A 25505-nucleotide genomic window follows, 5' to 3' on the forward strand; every position below is an offset into this window, starting at 1 on the left:
TTGGCAGAAACCCTACAAGCCAGAAGAGAGTGGGGGCCAATATTCAACATTCTAAAGAAAAGAATTTTCAACCCAGAATTTCATATCCAGCCAAACTAAGCTTCCTAAATGAAGGAGAAATAAAATACTTTACAGACAAGCAAATGCTGAGAGATTTTGTCACCACCAGGCCTGCCCTAAAAGAGCTCCTGAAGGAAGCACTAAACATGGAAAGGAACAACCGGTACCAGCCGCTGCAAAATCATGCCAAAATGTAAAGACCATTGAGACTAGGAAGAAACTGCATCAACTAACGAGCAAAATAACCAGCTGACATCATAATGACAGGATCAGATTCACACATAACAATATTAACTTTAAATGTAAATGGACTAAATGTTCCAATTAAAAGACACAGACTGGCAAATTGGATAAACAGTCAAGACCCATCAGTGTGCTGTATTCAGGAAACCCATCTCACGTGCAGAGACACACATAGGCTCAAAATAAAAGGATGGAGGAAAATATACCAAGCAAATGGAAAACAAAAAAAGGCAGGGGTTGCAATCCTAGTCTGATAAAACAGACTTTAAACCAACAAAGATCAAAAGAGACAAAGAAGGCCATTACATAATGGTAAAGGGATCAATTCAACAAGAAGAGCCAACTATCCTAAATATATATGCACCCAACAGAGGAGCACTCAGATTCATAAAGCAAGTCCTGAGTGACCTACAAAGAGACTTAGACTCCCACACATTAATAATGGGAGACTTTAACACCCCACTGTCAACATTAGACAGATCAACAAGACAGAAAGTCAACAAGGATACCCAGGAATTGAACTCAGCTCTGCACCAAGCAGACCTAATAGACATCTACAGAACTCTCCATCCCAAATCAACAGAATATACATTTTTTTCAGCACCACACCACACCTATTCCAAAATTGACCACATACTTGGAAGTAAAGCTCTCCTCAGCAAATGTAAAAGAACAGAAATTATAACAAACTATCTCTCAGACCACAGTGCAATCAAACTAGAACTAAGGATTAAGAATCTCACTCAAAACCACTCAACTACATGGAAACTGAACAACCTGCTCCTGAATGACTACTGGGTATATAACAAAATGAAGGCAGAAATAAAGATGTTCTTTGAAACCAATGAGAACAAAGACACAACATACCAGAATCTCTGGGACACATTCAAAGCAGTGTGTAGAGGGAAATTTATAGCACTAAATGCCCACAAGAGAAAGCAGGAAAGATCCAAAATTGACACCCTAACATCACAATTAAAAGAAGTAGAAAAGCAAGAGCAAACACATTCAAAAGCTAGCAGAAGGCAAGAAATAACTAAAATCAGAGCAGAACTGAAGGAAATAGACACACAAAAAACCCATCAAAAAATTAATGAATCCAGGAGCTGGTTTTTTGAAAGGATCAACAAAATAGACCGCTAGCAAGACTAATAAAAAAAGAGAGAAGAATCAAATAGAAGCAATAAAAAATGATAAAGGGGATATCACCACCTATCCCACAGAAATACAAACTACCATCAGAGAATACTACAAACACCTCTACGCAAATAAACTAGAAAATCTAGAAGAAATGGATAAATTCCTCGACACATACACTCTCCCAAGACTAAACCAGGAAGAAGTTGAATCTCTGAATAGACCAATAACAGGATTTGAAATTGTGGCAATAATCAATAGCTTACCAACCAAAAAGAGTCCAGGACCAGACGGATTCACAGCCGAATTCTGCCAGAGGTACAAGGAGGAACTGGTACCATTCCTTCTGAAACTATTCCAATCAATAGAAAAAGAAGGAATCCTCCCTAACTCATTTTATGAGGCCAGCATCATCCTGATACCAAAGCTGGGCAGAGACACAACCAAAAAAGAGAATTTTAGACCAATATCCTTGATGAACATTGATGCAAAAATCCTCAATAAAATACTGGCAAACCGAATCCAGCAGCACATCAAAAAGCTTATCCACCATGATCGAGTGGGCTTCATCCCTGGGATGCAAGGCTGGTTCAATATAAGCAAATCAATCAATGTAATCCAGCATATAAACAGAGCCAAAGACAAAAACCACATGATTATCTCAATAGATGCAGAAAAGGCCTTTGACAAAATTCAACAACCCTTCATGCTAAAAACTCTCAATAAATTAGGTATTGATGGGATGTATTTCAAAATCATAAGAGCTATCTATGACAAAGCCACAGCCAATATCATACTGAATGGGCATAAACTGGAAGCATTCCCTTTGAAAACTGGCACAAGACAGGATGCCCTCTCTCACCACTCCTATTCAACATAGTGTTGGAAGTTCTGGCCAGGGCAATTAGGCAGGAGAAGGAAATAAAGGGTATTCAATTAGGAAAAGAGGAAGTCAAATTGTCCCTGTTTGCAGATGACATGATTGTATATCTAGAAAACCCCATTGTCTCAGCCCAAAATCTCCTTAAGCTGATAAGCAACTTCAGCAAAATCTCAGGATACAAAATCAGTGTACAAAAATCATAAGCATTCTTATACACCAACAATAGACAGAGAGCCAAATCATGAGTGAACTCCCATTCACAATTGCTTCAAAGAGAATAAAATACCTAGGAATCCAACTTACAAGGGATGTGAAGGACATCTTCAAGGAGAACTACAAACCACTGCTCAAGGAAATAAAAGAGGATACAAACAAATGGAAGAACATTCTATGCTCATGGGTAGGAAGAATCAATATCATGAAAATGGCCATACTGCCCAAGGTAATTTACAGATTCAATGCCATCCCCATCAAGCTACCAATGCCTTTCTTCACAGAATTGGAAAAAACTACTTTAAAGTTCATATGGAACCAAAAAAGAGCCCACATCACCAAGTCAATCCTAAGCCAAAAGAACAAACCTCGAGGCATCACACTACCTGAATTCAAACTATACTACAAGGCTACAGTAACCAAAACAGCATGGTACTGGTACCAAAACAGAAATATAGATCAATGGAACAGAACAGAGCCCTCAGAAATAACGCCGCATATCTACAACTATCTGATCTTTGACAAACCTGAGAAAAGCAATGGGGAAAGGATTCCCTATTTAATAAATGGTGCTGGGAAAATTGGCTAGCAATATGTAGAAAGCTGAAACTGGATCCCTTCCTTACACCTTATACAAAAATCAATTCAAGATGGATTAAAGACTTAAACGTTAGACCTAAAACCATAAAAGCCCTAGAAGAAAACCTAGGCAGTACCATTCAGGACATAGGCATGGGCAAGGACTTCATGTCTAAAACACCAAAAGCAATGGCAGCAAAAGCCAAAATTGACAAATGGGATCTAATTAAACTAAAGAGCTTCTGCACAGCAAAAGAAACTACCATCAGACTGAACAGGCAACCTACAAAATGGGAGGAAATTTTCGCAACCTACTCATCTGACAAAGGGCTAATATCCAGAATCTACAATGAACTCAAACAAATTTACAAGAAAAAAACAACCCCATCAAAAAGTGGGTGAAGGATATGAACAGACACTTCTCAAAAGAAGATATTTATGCAGCCAAAAAACACATGAAAAATGCTCATCATCACCGGCCATCAGAGAAATGCAAATCAAAACCACAATGAGATACCATCTCACACCAGTTAGAATGGCAAACATTAAAAAGTCAGGAAACAACAGGTGCTGGAGAGGATGTGGAGAAATAGAAACATTTTTACACTGTTGGTGGGACTGTAAACTAGTTCAACCATTGTGGAAGTCAGTGTGGCGATTCCTCAGGGATCTAGAACTAGAAATACCATTTGACTCAGCCATCCCATTACTGGGTATATACCCAAAGGACTATAAATCATGCTGCTATAAGACCCATGCACACGTATGTTTATTGCGGCATTATTCACAATAGCAAAGACTTGGAACCAACCCAAATGTCCAACAATGATAGACTGGATTAAGAAAATGTGGCACATATACACCATGGAATACTATGCAGCCATAAAAAAGGATGAGTTCATGTCCTTTGTAGGGACATGGATGAAATTGGAAATCATCATTCTCAGTAAACTATCGCAAGAACAAAAAACCAAACACCGCATAATCTCACTCATAGGTGGGAATTGAACAATGAGATCACATGGACACAGGAAGGGGAACATCACACTCTGGGGACTGTTGTGGGGTGGGGGGAGGGATAGCATTGGGAGATATACCTAATGCTAGATGACGAGTTAGTGGGTGCAGCGCACCAGCATGGCACATGTATACGTATGTAACTAATCTGCACAATGTGCACATGTACCCTAAAACTTAAAGTATAATAATAAAAGAAAAACTTAAACAAAACAAAAAAAAAAACACACACACAAAAGAAAATGTGGCACATATACACCATGGAATACTCTGCAGCCTTAAAAAATGATGAGTTCTTGTCCTTTGTAGGGAGATGGATGAAGCTGGAAACCATCATTCTCAGCAAACTATTGCAAAACAAAAAACCAAACATCGCATGTTCTCACTTATAGGTGGGAATTGAACAATAAGAACACCTGGACACAGGAAGGGGGACATCACACACCAGGGCCTGTTGTGGGGTGGGGGGAGGAGGGAGGGATAGCATTAGGACATATACCTAATGTAAATGACGAGTTAATGGGTGTAGCACACCAACATGGCACATGTATACATATGTAACAAACCTGCACGTTGTGTACATGTACCCTAGAACTTAAAGTATAATTAAAAAAAATAAACTATTTAACAGAGGCTGCCGTATTACTGGGGTTTTACCACAGGCTAACCAATATGCTAGAAGGAAAATACCCAACTCCAGGTCCTTCTAACCTGTGTCACACCTATGTGGGGGTGGGCAGGGGATGTTAAGAAGCTCTTTGAAGGTTGCAGTCCAAGAACACATGCTGGCAAATAGATTCAGACCAATTTGTAGGACTATAGAATGATTTCTCTCCCTTCCACACTGACAAACACATTAAAATATCTCATGTATGATAACAGAGGATGCACATGGAAGGATGACAAGCCTCAAATCCTGTTTAACAATGAATCTGTAGAAAAGCCAAAGATAACAGAGGACACAAAAATAAGAACACTAGAGCAAATTATGGCCTCTGACATCAGAGGTAAAACTAGCGATAAACATAGCCTAACACATAAACATAAACTTCACACTAAACGCCTGTTTATCTTTACCTAACACATCATGTAAATTATGGTAAGAATTGTATCCCCACAGACTCATATATTGAAGTCATACCCCCAACTATCTCAGAATGTACCCTTATTTGGAAATAGGACCATTGCAGATGTAATTAGTTAATTGAAGATGAGAACATACTCTAGTAGAAAGTGTCCCTAATCCAATATGATTGAAGAAAAAGTAGTAACAACATATTTTAATGAGTCATATACTATTGAAACAGAGAAAACAGTCCAGCACGCACTGAACTCAATTTTGATGTATACAGAGTTGACGATCATTTTAAACTTGACGAAACTCTAGCCAGGGTCTTCTGAGCCTTCTCAATTCAGCCTTAACTTTGGTCTATAAAAACTTGAAAAAGACAGGAACATAGTTGGTAACAGTTCAAGTCTACATCTCTAGAACGAACGACCCAGTCTCCCTTAAAGTGAACTGTCTGAGAAAACTGAAACCTGCCTGTCTTCATGGTTCCTATAACAAAAATACCATGGCCTTACACAACACTTATTTCTCACATTTCCACAGATTGGAAAGTCCACAATAAAGGTGCCAGCCAGTTTGGTCTGTAAGGACCCATTTTCTGATTTATAGAGCATGGTCTTCTTGCTGTGCCCTCACATGGCAGAAGAGGCAAGAAAGCTCTCTGGAGTCTCTTTTATGAGGTCACTAAGGCCATTCATGAGTTCATCACTCATGATCTAATCAACCCCCAAAGACTTCCTCTCCCAATATCATCACATTGGGGTTTAAGATTTCAACATATAACTTATGTAAGTACACAGACAATCTATAGCATGCTTGTCCCAGCCAAGACTTGAAGATAGGCCTGGTGTCTCCTGACCTCTGTGGGAGGGTAGAAGCCCAACATCAGCAAGTATCAGTTAACAAAGCAAATGGGTTTCACAGGAACCAACTCCCCCCTTCTCACGATTTGTAATTTCTCACATCCCTGACCCTCCTGAGCCCCCACTAACTCCCATTTCTCTTTCCTCAAACTCCCTTTAACATTTTCCTCAACCTGGATACATCAAAGTTAAGTTCATGCTGAACTCTTGCCTGTTTCAATAGTATATGACTAGTTAAAGCACGTTCTTACCTCTTTAACCAGTTTTCCATTTTGTTTGTCTTGACAGTTATCTGGCACTGGAACTCAAATCCAGATTGGAACCCTTATCTGGCCCTTGGACAAAACAGTCAATCCTTTCTGCATGCGTAGAAACCTTTGTCTGATCTTCAGTTGACTTACTTTTTTGGGTATTTGGTGGCGAGTTCAACTTCTGGCCTAACACTGTGTAGAAATTTGCACTGAGGCATGGCGAGGACATATTTTCTTCCTATGTTTCTGGCTGTAGTCTCTAAGGCTGGGTTATAATTCCAGGCTGCTTTTGAAAGACATCTCCTGGGCTGGCTGTTTATCTTCCTGGCTCCCTGTTTTCAGTGGGAATTCACTTCCTAACTCCTGTGCTGGAATGTTCACTCTGGCTTCTTGTGAGACCTCTTCATTCTATTTGAACTTACTCTTCCCACAGGAACTCCACAGTTAAACCCCTTTTGGGTTCCTACTCTCTATATATACTATGACACTAACCATGTCTGCTTCTATTTTAGGCAAAATGACTTTACTGTGGATAATTCGGAACTGCAATGGTTTATTTGAAAATCTTAAGATCTGCCTAAAGTGGCTCTTATAGGACTGCTCCCTTCCCATTTCCTTCTTTTTTCCTTCTTTCTTTTACCATCTTAACTTTTTCCATTGAACTCCCCTGACACTTTGATATGCACCTCTTTTCCATTAAACACCCCTGACTTTTGATATATACCCATCCTTTTACCCCTACCAGATGTTTCACTTACCTCTTTAGCCCCTCGACTCCCTATAGTCACTGGAACGTATGCCTCCTGATTCACAGGGGGTTCTCGAGAGACTGATGCACACACAAAGCAACACACGGGGCTTCCTGGAAACAGAGATATAATCTACAGCCTGTGTAAGATTACATTTTAGGTGAAAAACCCACAAATACCCCAAAATATGTTACTAATTAAAATCTGTCCTCACTACCTTAACCAGTGTCTGGGCTTTACCTTTGAAACTGGTGTCCTTATTTAAAAAAAGTTGGACATGCACCCAGGAATATTATCTTTTGAAGATAAAGGAATAGATTGAAGTAATGCTACTTCAAGCCAAGGAATGCCAAAGGTTGTCATCAAACTACCAGAATGCTATGGTACGCATAGCAAATGAATACATCAGCTTTCAACAACATCATCAAAAATTACAAGTCATGGTAGCAGGCAAAAAATATGCTTTAAAAAGAAAAACAAAATTAGAAAAGGACTTGGACATGGCAAGCCAATCATGTGATTTCTTGATGTTTCTTCTGTGTTTTCTGCCTAGAAAAACCCACTGCACTCACTGCTGGGTGGATCTATCTGAACCTCTTATGGCTCTGAGTGCCATCTGAAAAAGATGATGGTTCCCTTTACCTTGAGTCGTTTTCCCCAGATACACTAGAACCCATTATTTCAGTTCTTTTAGGTCTCTTCTGTGCTATTCGATTATCAGAAAAGATTTCAATGACCAATGAATAAAAATGACTGATCTGTCCCTTATGCTGTCTTATTTTTCTTCATAAAATTAACAATCTTGAACATATTTTTTACAATTGTTTCTCTTTTCCACAATATAGTGTCATATTAATAAGATGAGACATTTTGCTCATTTTTATCACTGCTGTGTGCTGAAAGCCTAACACAGTGGTAGCCCCAAAGTAGATGCTCAAAAATAAATATGCTCTGAATGAGTATATTTAGTCATTTCCTGGAAGGAGAGGCTGGGTCAAACAGAGTGCTAAGGACTCAGAATCCTTACTGCTAGAATGACAATGAAATGACAGCATCATGTTAGTGGCACATTTAAAATGAAACAATATCAATATTGAAAATATTTGTAAGGCTTATTTGAAAAAAGAAAATCATAACACATTTACCTATAATTCAGAAATTTAAATTTCTAGATAATTTCTAAGATTAAGGTTTTTTAATTTCTTAAACTTTTAGATAACCATTTTAAAGAATATATATTGTATATATCTCTGTTATTAAAAAGTAATTGAAAGTAATTACTTCATATTATATTAAGGCATTATAGCTATAAATATGGTGTAAACTGTAATGGTTATTCTGCCCTTTCTTCTCTTGCTACCTCCTGCCATCCTAAGAGAAGTTGCCTTAAGCAGAATTGTCTCATCCCGATCCCCAGAATCACTCTATCCACTCACACATTATCTTTCCCAAGCTTGAGGAAAAAATAACAGAGTGAGAGACGAAGATTATGTATTATTATTGCGACTCTTGGTGTTTGCAAAATTCCAAAATACTGAGATATGGCTAAATAAAATTCTATGCAACTTCTTTTGAATGCATGAATGTATATATTTATGTAAGTTTTATTTTGTTTACATTTTGTTTTGGTAATTAGAGTTTTATTTCCCTTGGTGACAGAACTTTCTGTTGTCTTTCAGATGAGTATATTTTTGATTTTGATTTAAATATAATTTCCCAAAATAAACATTTTTGACTTATACCTATTTTATGTTTTTTATGATGTCAAGTCCATGGCATTTGTTCAGGGCGAGACTTTAATGACTGAACTTCATGATTATCTTTCTACTTGCCAAACACTTCATTTATCTTTCCCATTATTCAAGAGCTGCTATATCCTTGAGTTTGATATTCTTTATCTGGAATTCAATGCAAAGCTCTGCTAAGTGGTCATGATGATCCAAGAGTGGATGTTAGAATTCTAGGATGCCACAGGTCTTTCTCTTTCCATAAATCTTAAAGTCTGTAGGTTTATGAAAGACAGTTTTGTCACAGCCAGTTAGATTCATGGGTTAGCATTGTGGTGTAAGGAGGTGAATATAATGAATGAACTCAGCAATGAACAGGTTTTCTGATGCCAGAAGAAGTTTTCCCTGCGTGTTCTATAGGTCTTGTGCCGTGTATCAAGTATTTCTTCTCTTGATCTACTGTGCAATGGGTATAAGGTTTCAGTGACACAAGATGAAGTCCTAGAGATTGGCTGTGCAGCACCGTGCCTGGAGTTCACAGTACTGAATCGTGCACTGAAAAAGTGTAAGAGGGTAAATTTCCTGTTAAGTGCTCTCACCACACTAAATAAATAAAATTTATCATGAGCCAGGCACTGAACTAAGCTCAGGATATATTATGATGAACAAATTTAGACATGACAAACGATCTCAATAAAACTTAAAATGTTTTGCTACAATAATCACCTGAAAAAAAAGTCAGTCTTCTCTACAGTATAATGTGGATGGACACAAATGAGTGGTTTTAAGATTATGTTTCCTTCCCTTGTTTTTAAAAAACATTTATAATAAGTAAAATTCTTCAACAAGAGCAAAATCATATCAGTTTCTAGTATCAGTGTTTGCCAAAGACTGCTCTTTAAAATAAAGGGATCACCTCAGTCCAATCTACTTGACATGATCCTACCTTGTCAGACAAGCTAGTCAAGATTTGGAAAAGGCAACTACATTTCAATCCTTTGAAAATCTACATAATCCTAAGCACAGACTTATCAGGATTGGTAATGGGTCAAGTTTAGGGACACGTTACAATTACAATGTAATTTTTGGCTGTAGTTGATCAGCAAGTTTACATCCATATATTCATCCAAGTTGCTCTTCCTCAAAAAAATTAATATGTTGACATTTCTACCTGCAAGATTTGTGATTCATGTTTTAATTATTACAATTTTCATATAACATGTTTTAGAATACCTGATATTGTGGGTGATCTCAATTTCTTCCTGGGTGATCTTTCCTGGTTTAATATTTGTATGATTCCAATGATAAATCTCAGATAATATAAATAGCAAAAAATTAAAATACTGAGAAAATAATATACAACTTATTAGGGGAGAAAGAGGAAGAGATGCTCCCTTAGTGGCACACAGAAGGTGGGATGCCTGGTCTGCTTTTTCTATATTTTTGCATATTTGGGGTTCAGAAAACTGAAACCCATAGAGTCACCATATGCTACATACACTGAACCTAAAGTAATAAGTAGTTCTGAAAGAGAACAGAGGAGAAGAGGGACTCCCTACAGGGATAAATGGTCCAGACTTAAGGTATGGCTTATTTATGCTTTCAACACCCCAGGGACTACAATCCCAGCTGACCAATTAAACTTCGAGAGTTTCAGTGGAGATTTAAGGTCCTGGGATTACTTCTGGAAAAAAATTAAAAAGCTTACCGTGCAATTGGCCCAATACTCAAACCAAAATCTAATGGACAGAAAATATACAATTTACAAACTTGTGCTTTTTTTAAATGTTAATTAAAAATATGTTTATTAAACCCACAGATTTTTTTAGTTGGAAATTTTAAAATTAAATTTGATTAATGAAAAAATAAAATATAAGGAAAAATGACATTTGGAAGCAAAATGAAGAATTTCAGAAGAAAGAAAACATTCAACTAAATGATCTTTTGAACATATTGAATTCAGTTTGCTAGTGTTGAGAATCTTTACATCCATGATCATAAAATAAATTGGCCTGTAATTTTCTTATACCGTCCTTGTCTGACATTGGTGTTAGGGTAATGCATGAAAAAATGTGTTGGAAAGTGCACCCTTTTTAATTGTTTGGAAAAGTTTGAGAATAGCATTAATCTGTCTTTAGATATTTGGTAGCAATCACCAGTAAAAGCATCAAGTCCTGAACTTTTAAGTTTATTATTATTATTATTGGTGATTTAATCTCTGTACTAGTTATTAATTTGTTCAGGTTTATTCTTTCTTCAGGACATACATGTCTAAGAATTTATCCATTTCTTCTACGTTACTCAATTTATTGACATAATTGGTCATGATAATCTCTTATGACCCTTTGTATTTTGGTAGTATTGACTAATTTCTCCTGCTTTACTTATAGTTTTATTTGAGTCATCTCTCTTAGTTTTCTTGGTTTGTCTACCTAAAGGTTTGCCAATTTTCCTCACGTTTTTACAGAACCAACTCCTCGTGTTACTGATCTTTTCTTTTGTCTTTCTTATCTGTTTAATTCTGCTCTAACCTTTATAACTTTCTTCTTTCTTCTAACTTTTGGCTTTTTTCTTCTTTTCTAATTCCCAGAGTGCCAAGTTAGGTTGCTTATTTGGGATCATTTCTCTCTCTGTCTCAGTAGCTATCAGAACTACTTTTGCTGTACCCCATGATTTGGTATGTTATTTGTCCATTTTTGTTTGTCTCAGGATATTTTTAAATTGTCTTTATTTTTGGGTCCATTTGTTGTTTATGAGTGTTGAGAGTGGGGTATTATAATCCCCTACTATTATCATATTGCTGTTTATTTCTTTTTTGTGTTCTGCTCATGTCTGCTCCATCCATTTTGGTGTTCCAATGTTTCCTGGGCCTATATTGAGGCACCCTAACTAATAACACTTTGCACATCAATTCATCTCATTTCTCACAAAAGCAAACAGAACAAAACTGTTCAAACATACATAAGGGAGTCCTAGTTGCTGATACAAACTTTTAGATAGTCTTCCAATCTTTTTATCCTACTTTAATTCTCCAATGATATAATAAACATCCAAGACAAAAAAAATGAAAAAAGCACAAATGATTCCTTCACTGAAATCAGGAGACAAAGGCAATCCATCAACTATAAATTACACGTAAGGAAGGGGAAGAAAGTCACGGACACTCATCAGAATTGGTACAGAAACTCCATATTGGAAGCAGGAAGTCCGGCAGAGAAGAGACCCAGTCAAGGTCACTGGTGGTGGTAATGATAAAAAATACCAGGAAATATTATTCCCCAAGAAGGAGAGGGTCCTCTCACAAGTGTAAACTGCTATACCCAAGCCTGATGAACACGGAGCCAGGTAGCAATCTGAGGATTATTGAAGAGATAGATGCAGGGAGTATACCTGGGAAAGAAGTGGTGGAGATAACAGGACAATCTTGCCTAAACTAAGGGGGTCACCATCCCAGGCATAACCACGAATAGGAAGGTGGTAGAAATGAACATGGAGAAGACAGCAGGAATGCATACAATGAAGCTGTAGGGCTTGAGAAACAAGAATATTCCCCAATGCCTGCAAGCCCTATGCAATCCACCTGGTAACAACTGGAAAGGCAAATCAAATTCTGAAAAATGAAATTAGAAAATGCAACGTCTTTCCAAAAATACTATAGAAAAAAAATAAATCTACCCCAAAATTATTGCCTTAAATCGGAGCTAAATACTGATATAAACTTCAAATACTCTACAACCCCAAATCCTTAATAAAGCAGTTTTATAAATGAGAAAACATTTTAAAACAGAAATATGACGGTTCAGAGAACTGATGACCCACTAAAAAGAGACGACAATCGGCCAACAGAAAGATGTGAAATGGGAATCACCCTGAGTCAGGAGAGAATTTAAAGGGAGTGATGGGGACGAAGCTGAATGGCTGCTCCGTGGCTTGTGAGTGATTGTAAAATAATAAAGATGATGGAGAAAATATAAAAGCAAGTGTAAAGAAATAGTGATAAGCACTAGTGTAAACATATTGGCTACAATTGAATGATGAAGGAAAGGAGAATAGACATATCTTCTGAAATATTTTCTGTTCTTCCTTATGCTAGGAAACTAGTAGATACTGTGTAAAGAGAGGGAAATTAAGGATATTTTAGTCTTATAAAATATGTTTTATGCATAGGTATTTGTACATAATATACACATTTTGTTAAATAGAAAATATTAAATACCACACAATGAAATAATTTTGAAATAAAGGCAAAGAGTTGATTTTGTCTTCTTACTGCAAAGAATTATAAGTATGTGAGGTGATGCATATGTTAATTACCTCAATTTACCCATTCCACACAATATACATATTTTAAAATATCACATTGTACATGATAAATATATACAATTTTATTTGTTCATCACAAAAATTTAAAAATGGCAATTAAAATAAAGGTAATAACAAAGTGTGAGGGAATATGATTAAACTAATGGGGTATATCAATAAACACAATGCATTTAATACACTGAATAAAGAAAAAAAGATTACTATTCTCTCTGCCTGGTGGTCTCTTTTCCGATACGTTGTGACCCATTTCTTCAACTGATTTAGGTCTCTCTTCTCTGCTCTCTTGATTATCAGAGAAGACATCTCTGAGCAGTGAATATAAAACAGTAATTATCTCCTACACACCCTATTTTACTCTTCTTTATAATGTTTATCATTCCTGATAGTTTTTTTGCGATTATTATCTCTTCTCTACCATAGAATGTAAGATCCAGGAGATAAAGCATTTTACCATTTTTATCACTAGTGTCTTTCCAATGCCTAAAATATAGCACCTATTCCAAAACAGACGCTCAAAAATAAGTGTTTCTTGAGTCAATGCATTTATTCATTTTTGAGGAGGAGAGATTGGGTTAAACAAGAGGGTTAAAAACTCAGAATAGAATGACAACCAAACGAGAGCATAGTCAGTATTAATACAGAAAATATTTACAAGACCTACTTGAAAGAAGATATAGTTGTAACACATTTTCCATGATTGTTCAGAAATTTATATTTCTGGGTACATTAACTTCTTAGGCAACTAGAGCTTACTTGTTTAATTCTTTAAGCTTAATAAATTTTAAAGTATGGAGTACAATATGCCAAGTGAAACAAGTCAGGCACAGAAAGAAAAATGCAGCATGAGCTCATTTATGTGTAAAATAAATGGAAATTGAGTAAGATAAATAGGGAGTTGAAGGGCAGTTGCCAGAGTCAGGGAAGTAGACAAATTGGGATAATGTAGGTAAAAGAAGACAAAATTACAGTTATGTAACATAAAGATATTTAGAGATCTAATGTACAACAGAAGGACTATAGTTCTATTTTATTATACATTACAAATTTGCTAAGAGAATAACTAGATTATATGTGTTTTTATCACAAAAAAGTAAACTGCAGACAGTGATGGATGTGTTAATTTGCTAGCATGTGGTAATTATTTCACTATAGATATCTACATCAAAACATGTTGTACATCTTGAGTTTATACAATAAAAAAAAATACTCGATTTAATGACCAATCTGGACTTATTTATTTTAATGTTTATTTAAAATATTTCATGCTGTCTGTGGCCTGGTATTTGGGAGAAAGGGGGATAAAATACTTCAATCAATCATGTCAACACAATTTTTGATGAGAAATTGAAAACTGAATTGTTCAAATTGTTCCAGTTCTCAAGAGGAATGCTTCCAGATTTTACTTGTTTAGTATGATGGTGGCTGTGGGTGTGTCATAGATGGCTCTTATTTTTTTGAGATAAGTTCATTTGGTGCCCAGTATATTGAGGGTTTTTAACAAGAAAGGATGCTGAATGTTATGAAAAATCATTTTGCTTCTATTGAGATGATCATGTGGTTTTTGTATTTAATTATGTTTATGTGGTGAATCACATTTACTGATTTGCACTTGTTGAACCAACCTTGCATCCCAGAAATAAAGCCTACTTGATCGTGGTGAATTCACTTTTTGATGTGCTGCTGGATTTGGTTTGCTGGTATTTCGTGGAGGATTGTGTGTCTATATTCCTCAGGAATGTTGGCCCGAACTTTACTTTTTTTTGTCGTATTTGTGCCTAATTTTGGTATCAGAATGATGCTGGCTTCACAGAATGACTTAGAGAGTATTCCCTTCTCAATTTTTAAAATAATTTCAGAAGATTTTGTACCAACTCTTATTTATATGTCTGGTAGGAGTTGGTTGTTAATCCATCTGGTCCAGGGCTTGTTTTGGTTGGTAGGTTTTTTTTAATCACTGACTTAATTTCAGAACCCATTATTGGTCTGTTCAGGATTTCAATTTCTTCCTGGCTTAATGTCAGGAGGTTAAATAATCTTGGGTGGAGAAATAGATAAATTCCTTGTTTCGAGGGATTTATATATTTCTTCTAGGTTTTCTAGTTTGTCTGCAGAGAGGTGTTCATAATAGTCCCTTAGGGTTTTTTGTACTTCTATGTAGTTGGTTGTATTTCAACTTTGTCATTCCTGAATTTATTAAGCATATGAAAATAATAAACTATAAAGGAATAAAGAAAATAGATTTAGAAGAAAAGAAAGTGTTCAAGGAAATTAAAAAGCATATTGAATCATAATTTTATACTTTAAATTGTTTTATCTGTGAATATAACATTTTATCATATACTATACATGAAGATAAACAGATACTTCGTGCAGTTGGTAACCGAAAGATAGCCAGAGTGGCTATGTTAATGTGAGACAAAGTGAGTTTATGACAAAAATTTTTATAAGTAAAAAAAAAATCGTATACTGTTTGGGATCATTTGTGTATCTTCCTTGGAGAATGTAATATAGATCTTTAGATATAAAAATTGTAAACATGAATGAATGTAACAGAGACCCAAAATATATGAAGCCAAGGTGGACAGAATTAAAGGAAGAAATAAACAGTTCTGTACTTATAGTTCAATACTTAAATGTCCATTTTCAATAATGCATAGTGCACTTAGACAGAATGTTAATATAGTAGTAAGTGACTAGAACAGCACTATAAACCAAATGACCTAATATATATGTGGAGAATACTGAAATAGCAGAGTATAGATGCTTCTCAAGTACTAATAACACATTCTCCAGGATAAATTGCCAAAAACAAATAAGACTAAATTTTAAAAGATTTAATTCAAAGTATCTTTTCCAATCAATGAAATAAAACTGGAAATCTGAAATAGAGGGAGAACTACAAAAGTTACACATATGTGGGGATTAAACACCACACTGTGAAGCACCGGTGGGTCAAAAAAGAAATTGGAAATGAAGTTAGAAAATATATTCAGATGACTTAAAACATAACAAAACATATAGGATGCAGCTAAAGCAACTCTTAGAAGGAAAATTTTAGCTAGATTGCCTATACTCAAAAAAAGAAGAAACATCTAAAAACAATAATATATTTTTACACCTTAAGGAACTAGAAAAAGAAGAGCAGACTCAATACAAAGCAAACAGAAGGAAAAAAAAGTATTGGAATAGAGATTAATAAAATGCAGAATAGAAAAAACAATTTGACTATTTCGAGCTTTCAAAAGATCAACAAAATATAGAAAACTTTAGGTAAACTTACCAAAGAGAGAAAGAGAGAAGTCTTACATCATGAATACATAAATATGAATATAACATGGGTACATAACAACTAGCCTTTCAGAAACACAAGCAATTATAAGAGAATATTACAAATAATTGAATACTAACTAGATACCTTCAGTGAGATGAAAACCAAATCCTGGAAACACAGAAACTACCAACACTTACTCAAGAAGAAACTTAAAGTAGTGTTAAACAACTAACACACTGAAAATTACAAAGTACTGCTAATAGCAAATAAAACATAAACCGATGAAACAACATCGCATGTTAATGGATTGGGAGACTTGTGGTTAAGATAATACAACCAAAATATATCCACAGGTTCAATACAATGCCTATAAAAATTCCATGGCTTTTTTTTTTTGCAAGAGTAGAAAACACTAAAAATCATATGAAATTACGAGCGACTGCAAAATCCAAAACAACCTTGAATAGAAAAACAAAGTTGGAAGATTTACACTTCCTGAGTACAAAATTTGCCAAAAAGATACACTAATTTTAAAAGCCTGATAACAGAATAAGGATATATGCATAAATAAATAGAAGACAATTGAGAATCTAATGAGAAATACACGCATGTGTCTATGGTCAATAATCATCTGACAAGCATGCCACGTCCATTCAATGGGAAAAGAATACTCACTTTAACAAATTGTGCTCAGACAAGAAGATATCCACAAACAAAAGAATGAAGTGGCATTACAAATCATACTTAAACTCAAATTGATCAGGGACCTAAACATAAGAAGTAAAATTATAAAAATATGAGAAAAGATAAGGTTAAATATTCAAGACCTTAAGTTTAGCATTTTTTTTAGCATGATACCGAAAGAACGAGCAATAAGAAAATAAATAATTGGACCTCATCTAACTTCAAAATTTTTGTGCTTCAAAGGTCTCAATCAAAAAAGTGAAAAGAGAGGAGAGTGGGAAAGCTGGCAGAACGGAATTCTTTAACAATTGTATCCCCATAGAAACATCAATTTTAATAACTATTCTTACACAACATACCTTCACAAAAGCTAGTAAAGGCATGTGAGAGATCATAGAACCTGGTGATACAATTTTCATCTTGTTATAAAATAATAAGATTAGAAGCATTGAAGAGGGCAGGAAGGAGAGTTTTGATTACCTGCATTTTTTATCCCCAACCTCAGACAGCACAGTGCAGGGAGAAATACCAAACACTTGGAGAATAAAAACGGAAGTAAGTGTGGGACTTGGTCTTGGTGCCCAACACTAGGCCCACCACAGAAGAACTGAAAACCAGGCAGCCCCCACAACCACTGACTCCAGGCCAGTACACAAAGACCGAGCCTCCAGATCTACACCAACACTAGGCAGAAACCTGCAGCCCATGCAAAGCAGAATTAATTTGCAGTCATCATCACTGCCACCCACCCAGAGTGGCCTTAAGCTCTGGAAAGTATCCACTGGCAGGCAGGCCTCAGTGAACATGGGCTTCAGACTTGCATCAGTGCTGCACCAGCCCCAGTGGCCACAGGATATCATCTGGGACCCACACCAGTTCCAGTGGCCATGGGATTACAGCACTGCACTGCACCAGTCGTGGCAGTCCCAGGCTTAGGGCACCACCTAGGGCTGCCCCCACCACAGCAAACTAGAGCTTAGGGACCACACCAGACAACCTGCTCAGAATCTCTAGACAGGCTTACTATTGAAGAATGTTTCAGGATAAAACAAGTCTGCAAAGACTGGAATAAGTACCTATTATATTAGATGCATGACTGCAGACGCAAGAGAAATCAAGGAAGCATACATCACCAAGCAAACAAATGGAGATGCATAAACTACCTGACAAAGCATTTGAAATAACAGTCTTAGGGAAGCTCAGCAAACTTCAAGAAAATACACAGAAACTATTCAAACAAACGATAAAAATAATATGACCACAATGATAAACTTAGCAAATATTGGAATAACTTAAAAATCAAACAAATTCTAAAGCTGCAAAATATAATGAACAAAATGTAAACTGCAGTTGAGACCATCAACAGCAGAATGGATCAAGCCAATGAATCTGTGAACTCAAATACAGGTTATATGAAAATAGAGAAGAGAAAAGAATGAAAAATAATAAAGGAAACATGAGATTTACTGGACAGCAACAAAACAGCAAATTTTTGAGTCATTGGAGATAAGGGAGTTGAAATGATAAAGGAGTAGAAAGCTTATATGAAGAAATAATAGAAAACTTTTCAAACCTGGAAAAAGATATAAATAACCAGGTACAGTGAGGTAAAAAGTAACCAATCAGATTCAATCCAAACAAAACTACCCCTAAGACATATTATAATCAAACCACCAAAAATTGAAGGGAAGCTTCTCTGTATTGGTGGAAGGTAGGTAGGGCTTTTCTAGCCCCTACTTCCACTCTATCCCCTGAGTTCCACCTGCACTGACTCAAGGAAGAGTAAGCATCTAGAGCTAGTGAGAATGGGAGGAACTTACAAAGTCAAGAGAGAAGCCTATTGTTCCTTGCTCACCCACAGATTACGTACTATTACTCAAGGCTTGCTGTATTTATTATAGAAGAGAAAATCTTCTTGTATTATATATCAGCTGAGTTATTGCTTATCTGAGAATCACCAGAAGTTTCCACCCGAGACAGGATAAGAGAATAGAACCAACATGTTGGGATTTCCAGAGCAATCAAGAGAAAAGAAAATCTATTGTGTTATTATTGCCCCTGAGAAATCACACTTTTGTCTTTCCTAGGAAGCTGATGCTTACAACAATGGAGATTAGCAATACCTGGACAGAGTTGAGCTTCAAAGGATACTGAGAAATAGCTAAAGCAGGTAAAAAGAGAGAAGACTGGAACTTTGTCTATGCTTATCATCTAGCTTCAAGGAGAAACACAGTTGAGTTCAGCCATTTTGAAACAATGGTTAGAAACTAGATAAAAAGTTCTTAAGCTTTTCATTATTTATTTATTTATTTATTTATTTTTGAGACAGAGTCTTGCTCTGTGTCCCAGGCTGCAGTGCAGTGGTGAGATCTCTGCTCACTGCAACCTCCGCCTCCCGGGCTCAAGTGATTCTCCCACATCAGCCTCCCAAGTAGCTGGGGTTGCAGGTACCTACCACCGTGCCTGGCTAAGTTTTCTATTTTTAGTAGAGAAAGGGCTTCATGATGTTGGCCAGGCTGGTTTCAAACTCCTGACCTTAAATGATCTGCCAGCCTAGACCTCTCAAAGTGCTGGGATTACAGGCATGAGCCCCCGCACCCAGCCCTTAAGCTTTTTATGAGCAAATTAATATTTCAAATTAAATTGAACCAAATGGTTTTCTCATACGATGGAGCAACATTCCTCATGCTGGAAAATGAGATGCTCCTGAAGTCTTTGCATCTTGGTCCTCTACCGTTGTTTTCCACATTGATATTTATGTGTTCTGTTTAGAGACTTGATGTGTTCCCAGAACTTTCTGAAGAGCCCCACCACATCCTTGTTTCTCAGGATGTAGATGAGGGGGTTTAGCATGGGGGTGAGTACAGTGCAAAATACAGACACAGCTTGTTTCTGCTCAGGGATGTGGGAGAAACCCTGTGTCACGTATATTAAACACACAGTTCCTAAGTAAAGACCACGGAAAGATGGGAGGAGCAGTTGGCCAAAGCTTTGTTCCTACTTTAGGGGGATTTCATATGGAGGACTGTAAGGAAGATGAGGTATGAGAGGCCACAAGTCCAAGATGAAATGGATAAGAAGTAGAGAGCCACAGGCCAAGATCAAATGGGTAAAAAGTAGAGAGCCTGCATTTGAACCAGGTAGTCTGACTCAGGGTCCACACATCATCTCAATCATGGATGACTACCACAGACAGCTTGTTCCTTTCTCATCCCCATATTCTGGCTTCTCTCTTGCCATGTACACCTCCCCTTAGTCTCCATACCTGGGGCCACCTGCCCCCACAATCCTGTTCCCATAATATCTCACCTTGAATGAAGAGCTAAGCCAGGAAGGAAGCATCTGAAATAGTGTTGAAGAAAAGCTGAAGTGAGTGGAGAAGGACATCACTTTGTGTCCTTTACTTTCTGTTGGCCAATGCCTGTCTCCCGGTCTAGACCCTACCACCTACAGGTGAGGCCTCAAGCACAGCTCATCTCTGGACTGTCTCCATGTAGAACCAATGTCCCTGCTCAGATTAGATATATGAAATCCCCTAGTTGTAGATGTGGGGGCCTATGGAAATGAACCTCTCATAAACTGCTGAAGGGTACAAATTAACACAGCTTGAGAGAAGTGGCCTGGAGTGAGCTTCACTTCACACTAGGCCAGGACCACATTATTACTCCCAACAAAATAGTTTGTTTATAATCCTTTTCGTGGACTCCAGAAGAGGAAGATGGCAGATAGGAGGCAGGACTAACGTGCAGCTCCCACTTGGATGGACAGAGCAGCATGTGGAGATTCACGCTGTGAACTTTTGCTCCAAGAACTACCATAGGACATACCAGGAAAGCCAAGAGAATCCAAAGACCCTTTGAAGGAGGTGGCGGCCACTGTAGGCTCCGTGCCAAAAACTGAGTGCCAAAATGTGTGAAAGTGTAAAAGGGGGATGCTCCACCCCCAAACACAGATCCTCACTGGGGAACCTGACGGTCCACATGGTGGGAAAAGGATTTAATCTTACGCGGAGCTAAGAGGAATTTAGAGAGCCAAGCAAAATATTCGAGTAGAGGAAACAACAAGAAGAGCCCTGTGGGAAACCATTTCGGACTTTGTCTTGCAGGGGTCCTTTGGGAGGGCTGCCAGTGGAATTGGGGAAAGACTACAAGGAGAAGCAAGCTTTCAGATGAATTTTGTAATAATCTTGACTAACGTGAAGCTTCCTGGACAGAACCTGGGGGAGGGGGCAAACTGGGAGTGCAGATACAAGCTCAGAAGCTGAGGCAGGCAGAGAGGCATGAAACCTAAAAGCCCTGCTTGCTTTCTTCATGAGGGGCTTGTAGCCTGGGGCAAGTTCTCAGCCCTGCTCACCAGCTGCCTGGAAAAAACTCAGTGCTACTGGGGGCACAAGGTGGGAGTGAGACTGGCCTTTTGGGCTGCCTGGGAGCTGAGTGAAGCATGTAACTGCCCGTTCCCCCCCTTCTCTGGTGACCTGCATGACCCAGCAGAGGCACTCATAATCCCCGTGGAAACATAACTCCATCAGTCTGAGGACCACACCCCAATCCCACACAGCAGCCACACAGCAAGCCCCGCCCAAGGAGAGTCTCAGCTCAGACACGCCTAACACTGCCCCCACCTCTTGGCCTTTCTCTACCCACCCTGGGAGCCAAAGACAAAGGACATAATCTCATGGGAGCTCTGAGGCCCGGCCCATTGCCTGAGAAATCTGGATACTTATCCAGGTAACCCTAAGGCAAGCTCGTATCTTCCCTACACTACTGCAGCTGATGCAACTCTTGAAAGAATCAACTGCTGGCTGGAGACCAACCAGCAAACTTATCAAAAATACAGCCAAGGACCCTCACAGAGTCCACTTCACTCCCCTGCTCCCTCCACCACAGCATGTGCTGGTATCCATGGCTGAGAGACCTGAAGACAGATCATACCACAAGACTCTTTGCAGACACTCTCCGGTACCAGCCAGTACCAGAGCACAGTAGCTTCGCTGGGTGGTTAGATGTGGAAGAGAAATAACAATCTCTGCACTTTGTTTCTCAGGAACCCCCATCCCTAGAAGAAGGGGTAGAGCACCACATCAAGGGAGCACCCCATGGGACAAAAGAATCTCAACAGCAGCCCTTTAGCCCCAGAACTTCCCTCTCACATAGTCTACCCAAATGAGAAAAATCCAGGAAAACCATTCTGAAAATATGACAAAACAAGATTTTCTGACACCCCCAAAAGATCACACTAGCTCACCAGCAATGGATTCAAACAAAGGAGAAATTTCTGAATTGCCAGAAAAAGAATTAAGAAGGTCAATTATTAAGCTACTCAACAAAGTACCAGAGAAAGGTGAATACCAACTTAAATTTAAAAATGTGTTACAGGACATGAATGGAAAAATCTCCGGAGAAACAGATAGCATAAATAAAAAACAATCACAACTGCTGGAAATCAAGAACACACTAGAAAAATGCAAAATACACTGGAAAATCTCAGAAATAGAATCAAACAAGTAGAAGAAACAAGTTCAGAGCTTGAAGACAAGGCTATTGAACTAACCGAATCCAGCAAAGACAATTAAAAAACACACCTTTAACTGTGTTTTCTTATACTTCGGGCTTTTTGTAGGTTAATGACTTTTCTTAATTCCTAAGTACCATCTGAGTAATTAGTCACATGGTTATAAAGAATATCAAATGTCAGACTAAATTCTTTTCAAGCTTCCCTCAGCAGCTTAAAGTTGAAACCTTTTCATTCCTTCTTCTATAATCTTGGGTATTTGAAATGGGTATTCTCCCACTTGAACATAGGCAAAATCTAATTTCTTGTCTCTACCCTATGGAATCTCATTTAGTAATTATTTCTAAACTTATCCTGATGCCATGCATCATTGGTTTGTTATAAATATATCTAAAGGAGTACACAACATTTACTAAAGAAACACATTCCCCGTGTGATGTGTCCTGATAAGAAAAATGACCTCCAAATTTACATTCCTGTACAGGTATGATGATTTCACTCTACCATACTTTATTTTATACCCATCTATTGTTTCTTCCACAAATATACATAACTGGAGTCATAGCCAAAACTTGTATTGCCTGGGCCTATTTGAGCATAAACAGCAGGTATTAGCCCTAAATAGGGGGTCTTCTGCCAACTTGGGTGTGTTAGGAAACATGGACAATATTCAAAATGGCCTGCAGGACTCCAGTTTCAAAGTGAAAGATACCATGCCCATCCAAGACATTGCAGTTTGCCTTTCCCTGATGATTAGTGATGTTGAGCACTTTGTCATATACGTGCTAGCCATTTGTATGTCTTCTTTTGAAATATGTTTTTCGATGTCTTTTGCCCATTTTTAAAATCAAATTATTTGTGAGATAATTTTGGTACTCAGTTACTTGAGTTCTTTATATATTCTGGATATGAACCCCTTGTCAAATGCATTGTTGGCAAATCTTTTCTCCCACTCGTATGTTATCTATTCACTCTGTGAATTGTTTTCGTTATTGTGCAGAACCTTTCAGTATGATGTAATCTCATTTTTTAATTTTTTATTTTTTCCCTGTGATTTTGAGGTTCTACTTTAAAAATTCTTGCCCAGATCAATGTAGTGATGATGCATTCTGCCTGTGTTTTCTACCAGAAGTTTTACAGTTTAAGATCTGATATTAAAGTCTTTAATCCAATTTGAGTTTAAAATAGTGAAATAAGTGTCTAGTTTCATTCTGTATTTGGATATGCATTTTTTGCATCACCATTTATTGAGGAAGTAGTGCTTTTCTTGGTGTATGTTCTTTTCAACTTGGTCAAACATCAGTTGACTATAAATGAGTGAATTTATATCTGGGCTCTCAGGGGTTCTCTTCTGTTTGTGTGTCTGCTTTTATGCCAGTACCATTCTCTTTTGATGTTTAATAGCTTGTAGTATATCGGGTAGTATGATGCCTACATATTCATTCATTTTGCTCAGAATTGCATTGGCTATTTGGAGTCTTTTTTGCTTCCATATGAACTTTAGGATTGTTTTTTTCTATCTCTGAAGAATATCTTTTGTATTCGGATAGTGATTGCTTTAATTCTGTAGCTCTCTTTTGGTAGATGGACATTTTAATGATATCAATTCTTCTAATCCACGAACATGGGGAATCTTTCCATTTATTTGTGATCTCTTCAATTTCTTTCATTAGAGTTGTATAGTTTTTCTTGAAGAGATCTTTTACTTTGGCTAAATTTATTCCTAGTTATTTTGTATTTACTTTAGTTTTTGTAAATGGGATTGCCTTATTTCTCTTTCAGATTGCTCACTGTTGGCCTATATAAATGCTAATTTTGTATGTTGATTTTGTATCTTGCAAATTTACTGAATTCATTTATCAGTTCTCACAGTTTTTGCTGGTGTCGTTAGGATTTTTTTAATATATGACCATGTCATCTGTAAACAGGGAAAATTTCAGTTCCTTCTTTCCAATTTGGAGGCCTTTGTTTCCTTCTTTTACCTAATTGCTCTAAGACCAGACACAGCTTCTCTTTTTTCTCTCCTGAATTCATGGGAATTCAGGATGTTATTGTTTTTGAATAGTTTCCAGTTCTATTTTTGTGGGTGTGGATGAATGATGCTGGAGGATCTTCTATTCATCTATCTTGTTGCTATAACTCCTCTCTATGAGTCTTTCTTAACTTTTTAAAGATACAGTTTGCTGTTAGAGTATAGAAACTCCAATTTCTGTCTGTTGATTTCCTGAAACTTTCCTGAATTTGTTAGGGAATAGTTTTTGTTGAAGGCTTTATGTTTTTTTATATGTAATATTACTTTATTAACAAACAGAAACATGTCACTTCTTCCTTTCCTATTTACATTTCTATTTATTTTTCTTCCCTAATTGCTTTAGCTGGGACTTTCAGTGCTATGTTACATAAAAGTGGCAAGAGTGACCGTTCTGGTCTTTTGCTGGATCTTAGAGAAAAAGCTTTCAACATTTCATCATTAAGTATTATGTCAGCTGTAGGCTTATCATATATGGCCTTTGTTATGGTGAGATACATTCCTTGTATACCTAATTTGTTGAGAGTTTTGGAATTTTGTCAAATGCTTCTCTCCACCTAAATAATCATAAAATTGTATCATTCATTCTGTTAATGTGCTATGTGATGTTTATTAATTGGCATCTGTTGAAGCATCCTTGCATCCCTGGGATGAATCCCATTTTATCATGATGAATGCTTTTTGAAATGTGCTTTTAAATTCAGTTTGCTAGCATTTTTTGAGGAATTTTACATCCATGTTCCCAAATGATATTGACCTGTAGTTCCTTTTTCATTCCCATGTCCTTCTCTGGCTTTGGTATTAGGATAATTCTGGCCTTGTATAATGAATTTGGAAGTATTCCCACTTCTTCAATTTTTTGGAAGTGTTTGAGAATAATTGGTATTAGTTCTTTA

At 37.1% G+C, this 25505-nt stretch overlaps 1 long non-coding RNA gene and 1 pseudogene across 1 annotated transcript in view; both read right to left on the reverse strand.

The window, feature by feature from the left end:
- LOC105373277 (uncharacterized) overlaps positions 1–7177 on the reverse strand; it is a 52164-nt gene extending 44987 nt beyond the window's left edge. Inside the window, exon 1 of the long non-coding RNA XR_002958498.2 lies at positions 7074–7177. This is a non-coding gene — a long non-coding RNA (uncharacterized LOC105373277). The remainder of the gene's footprint in view (positions 1–7073) is intronic.
- On the reverse strand, positions 19815–20296 carry OR2AS1P (olfactory receptor family 2 subfamily AS member 1 pseudogene; annotated as a pseudogene).

Source organism: Homo sapiens, chromosome 1 (genome assembly GCF_000001405.40).
Source record: "Homo sapiens chromosome 1, GRCh38.p14 Primary Assembly".
In the NCBI taxonomy this organism is placed as follows: Eukaryota; Metazoa; Chordata; class Mammalia; order Primates; family Hominidae; genus Homo; species Homo sapiens.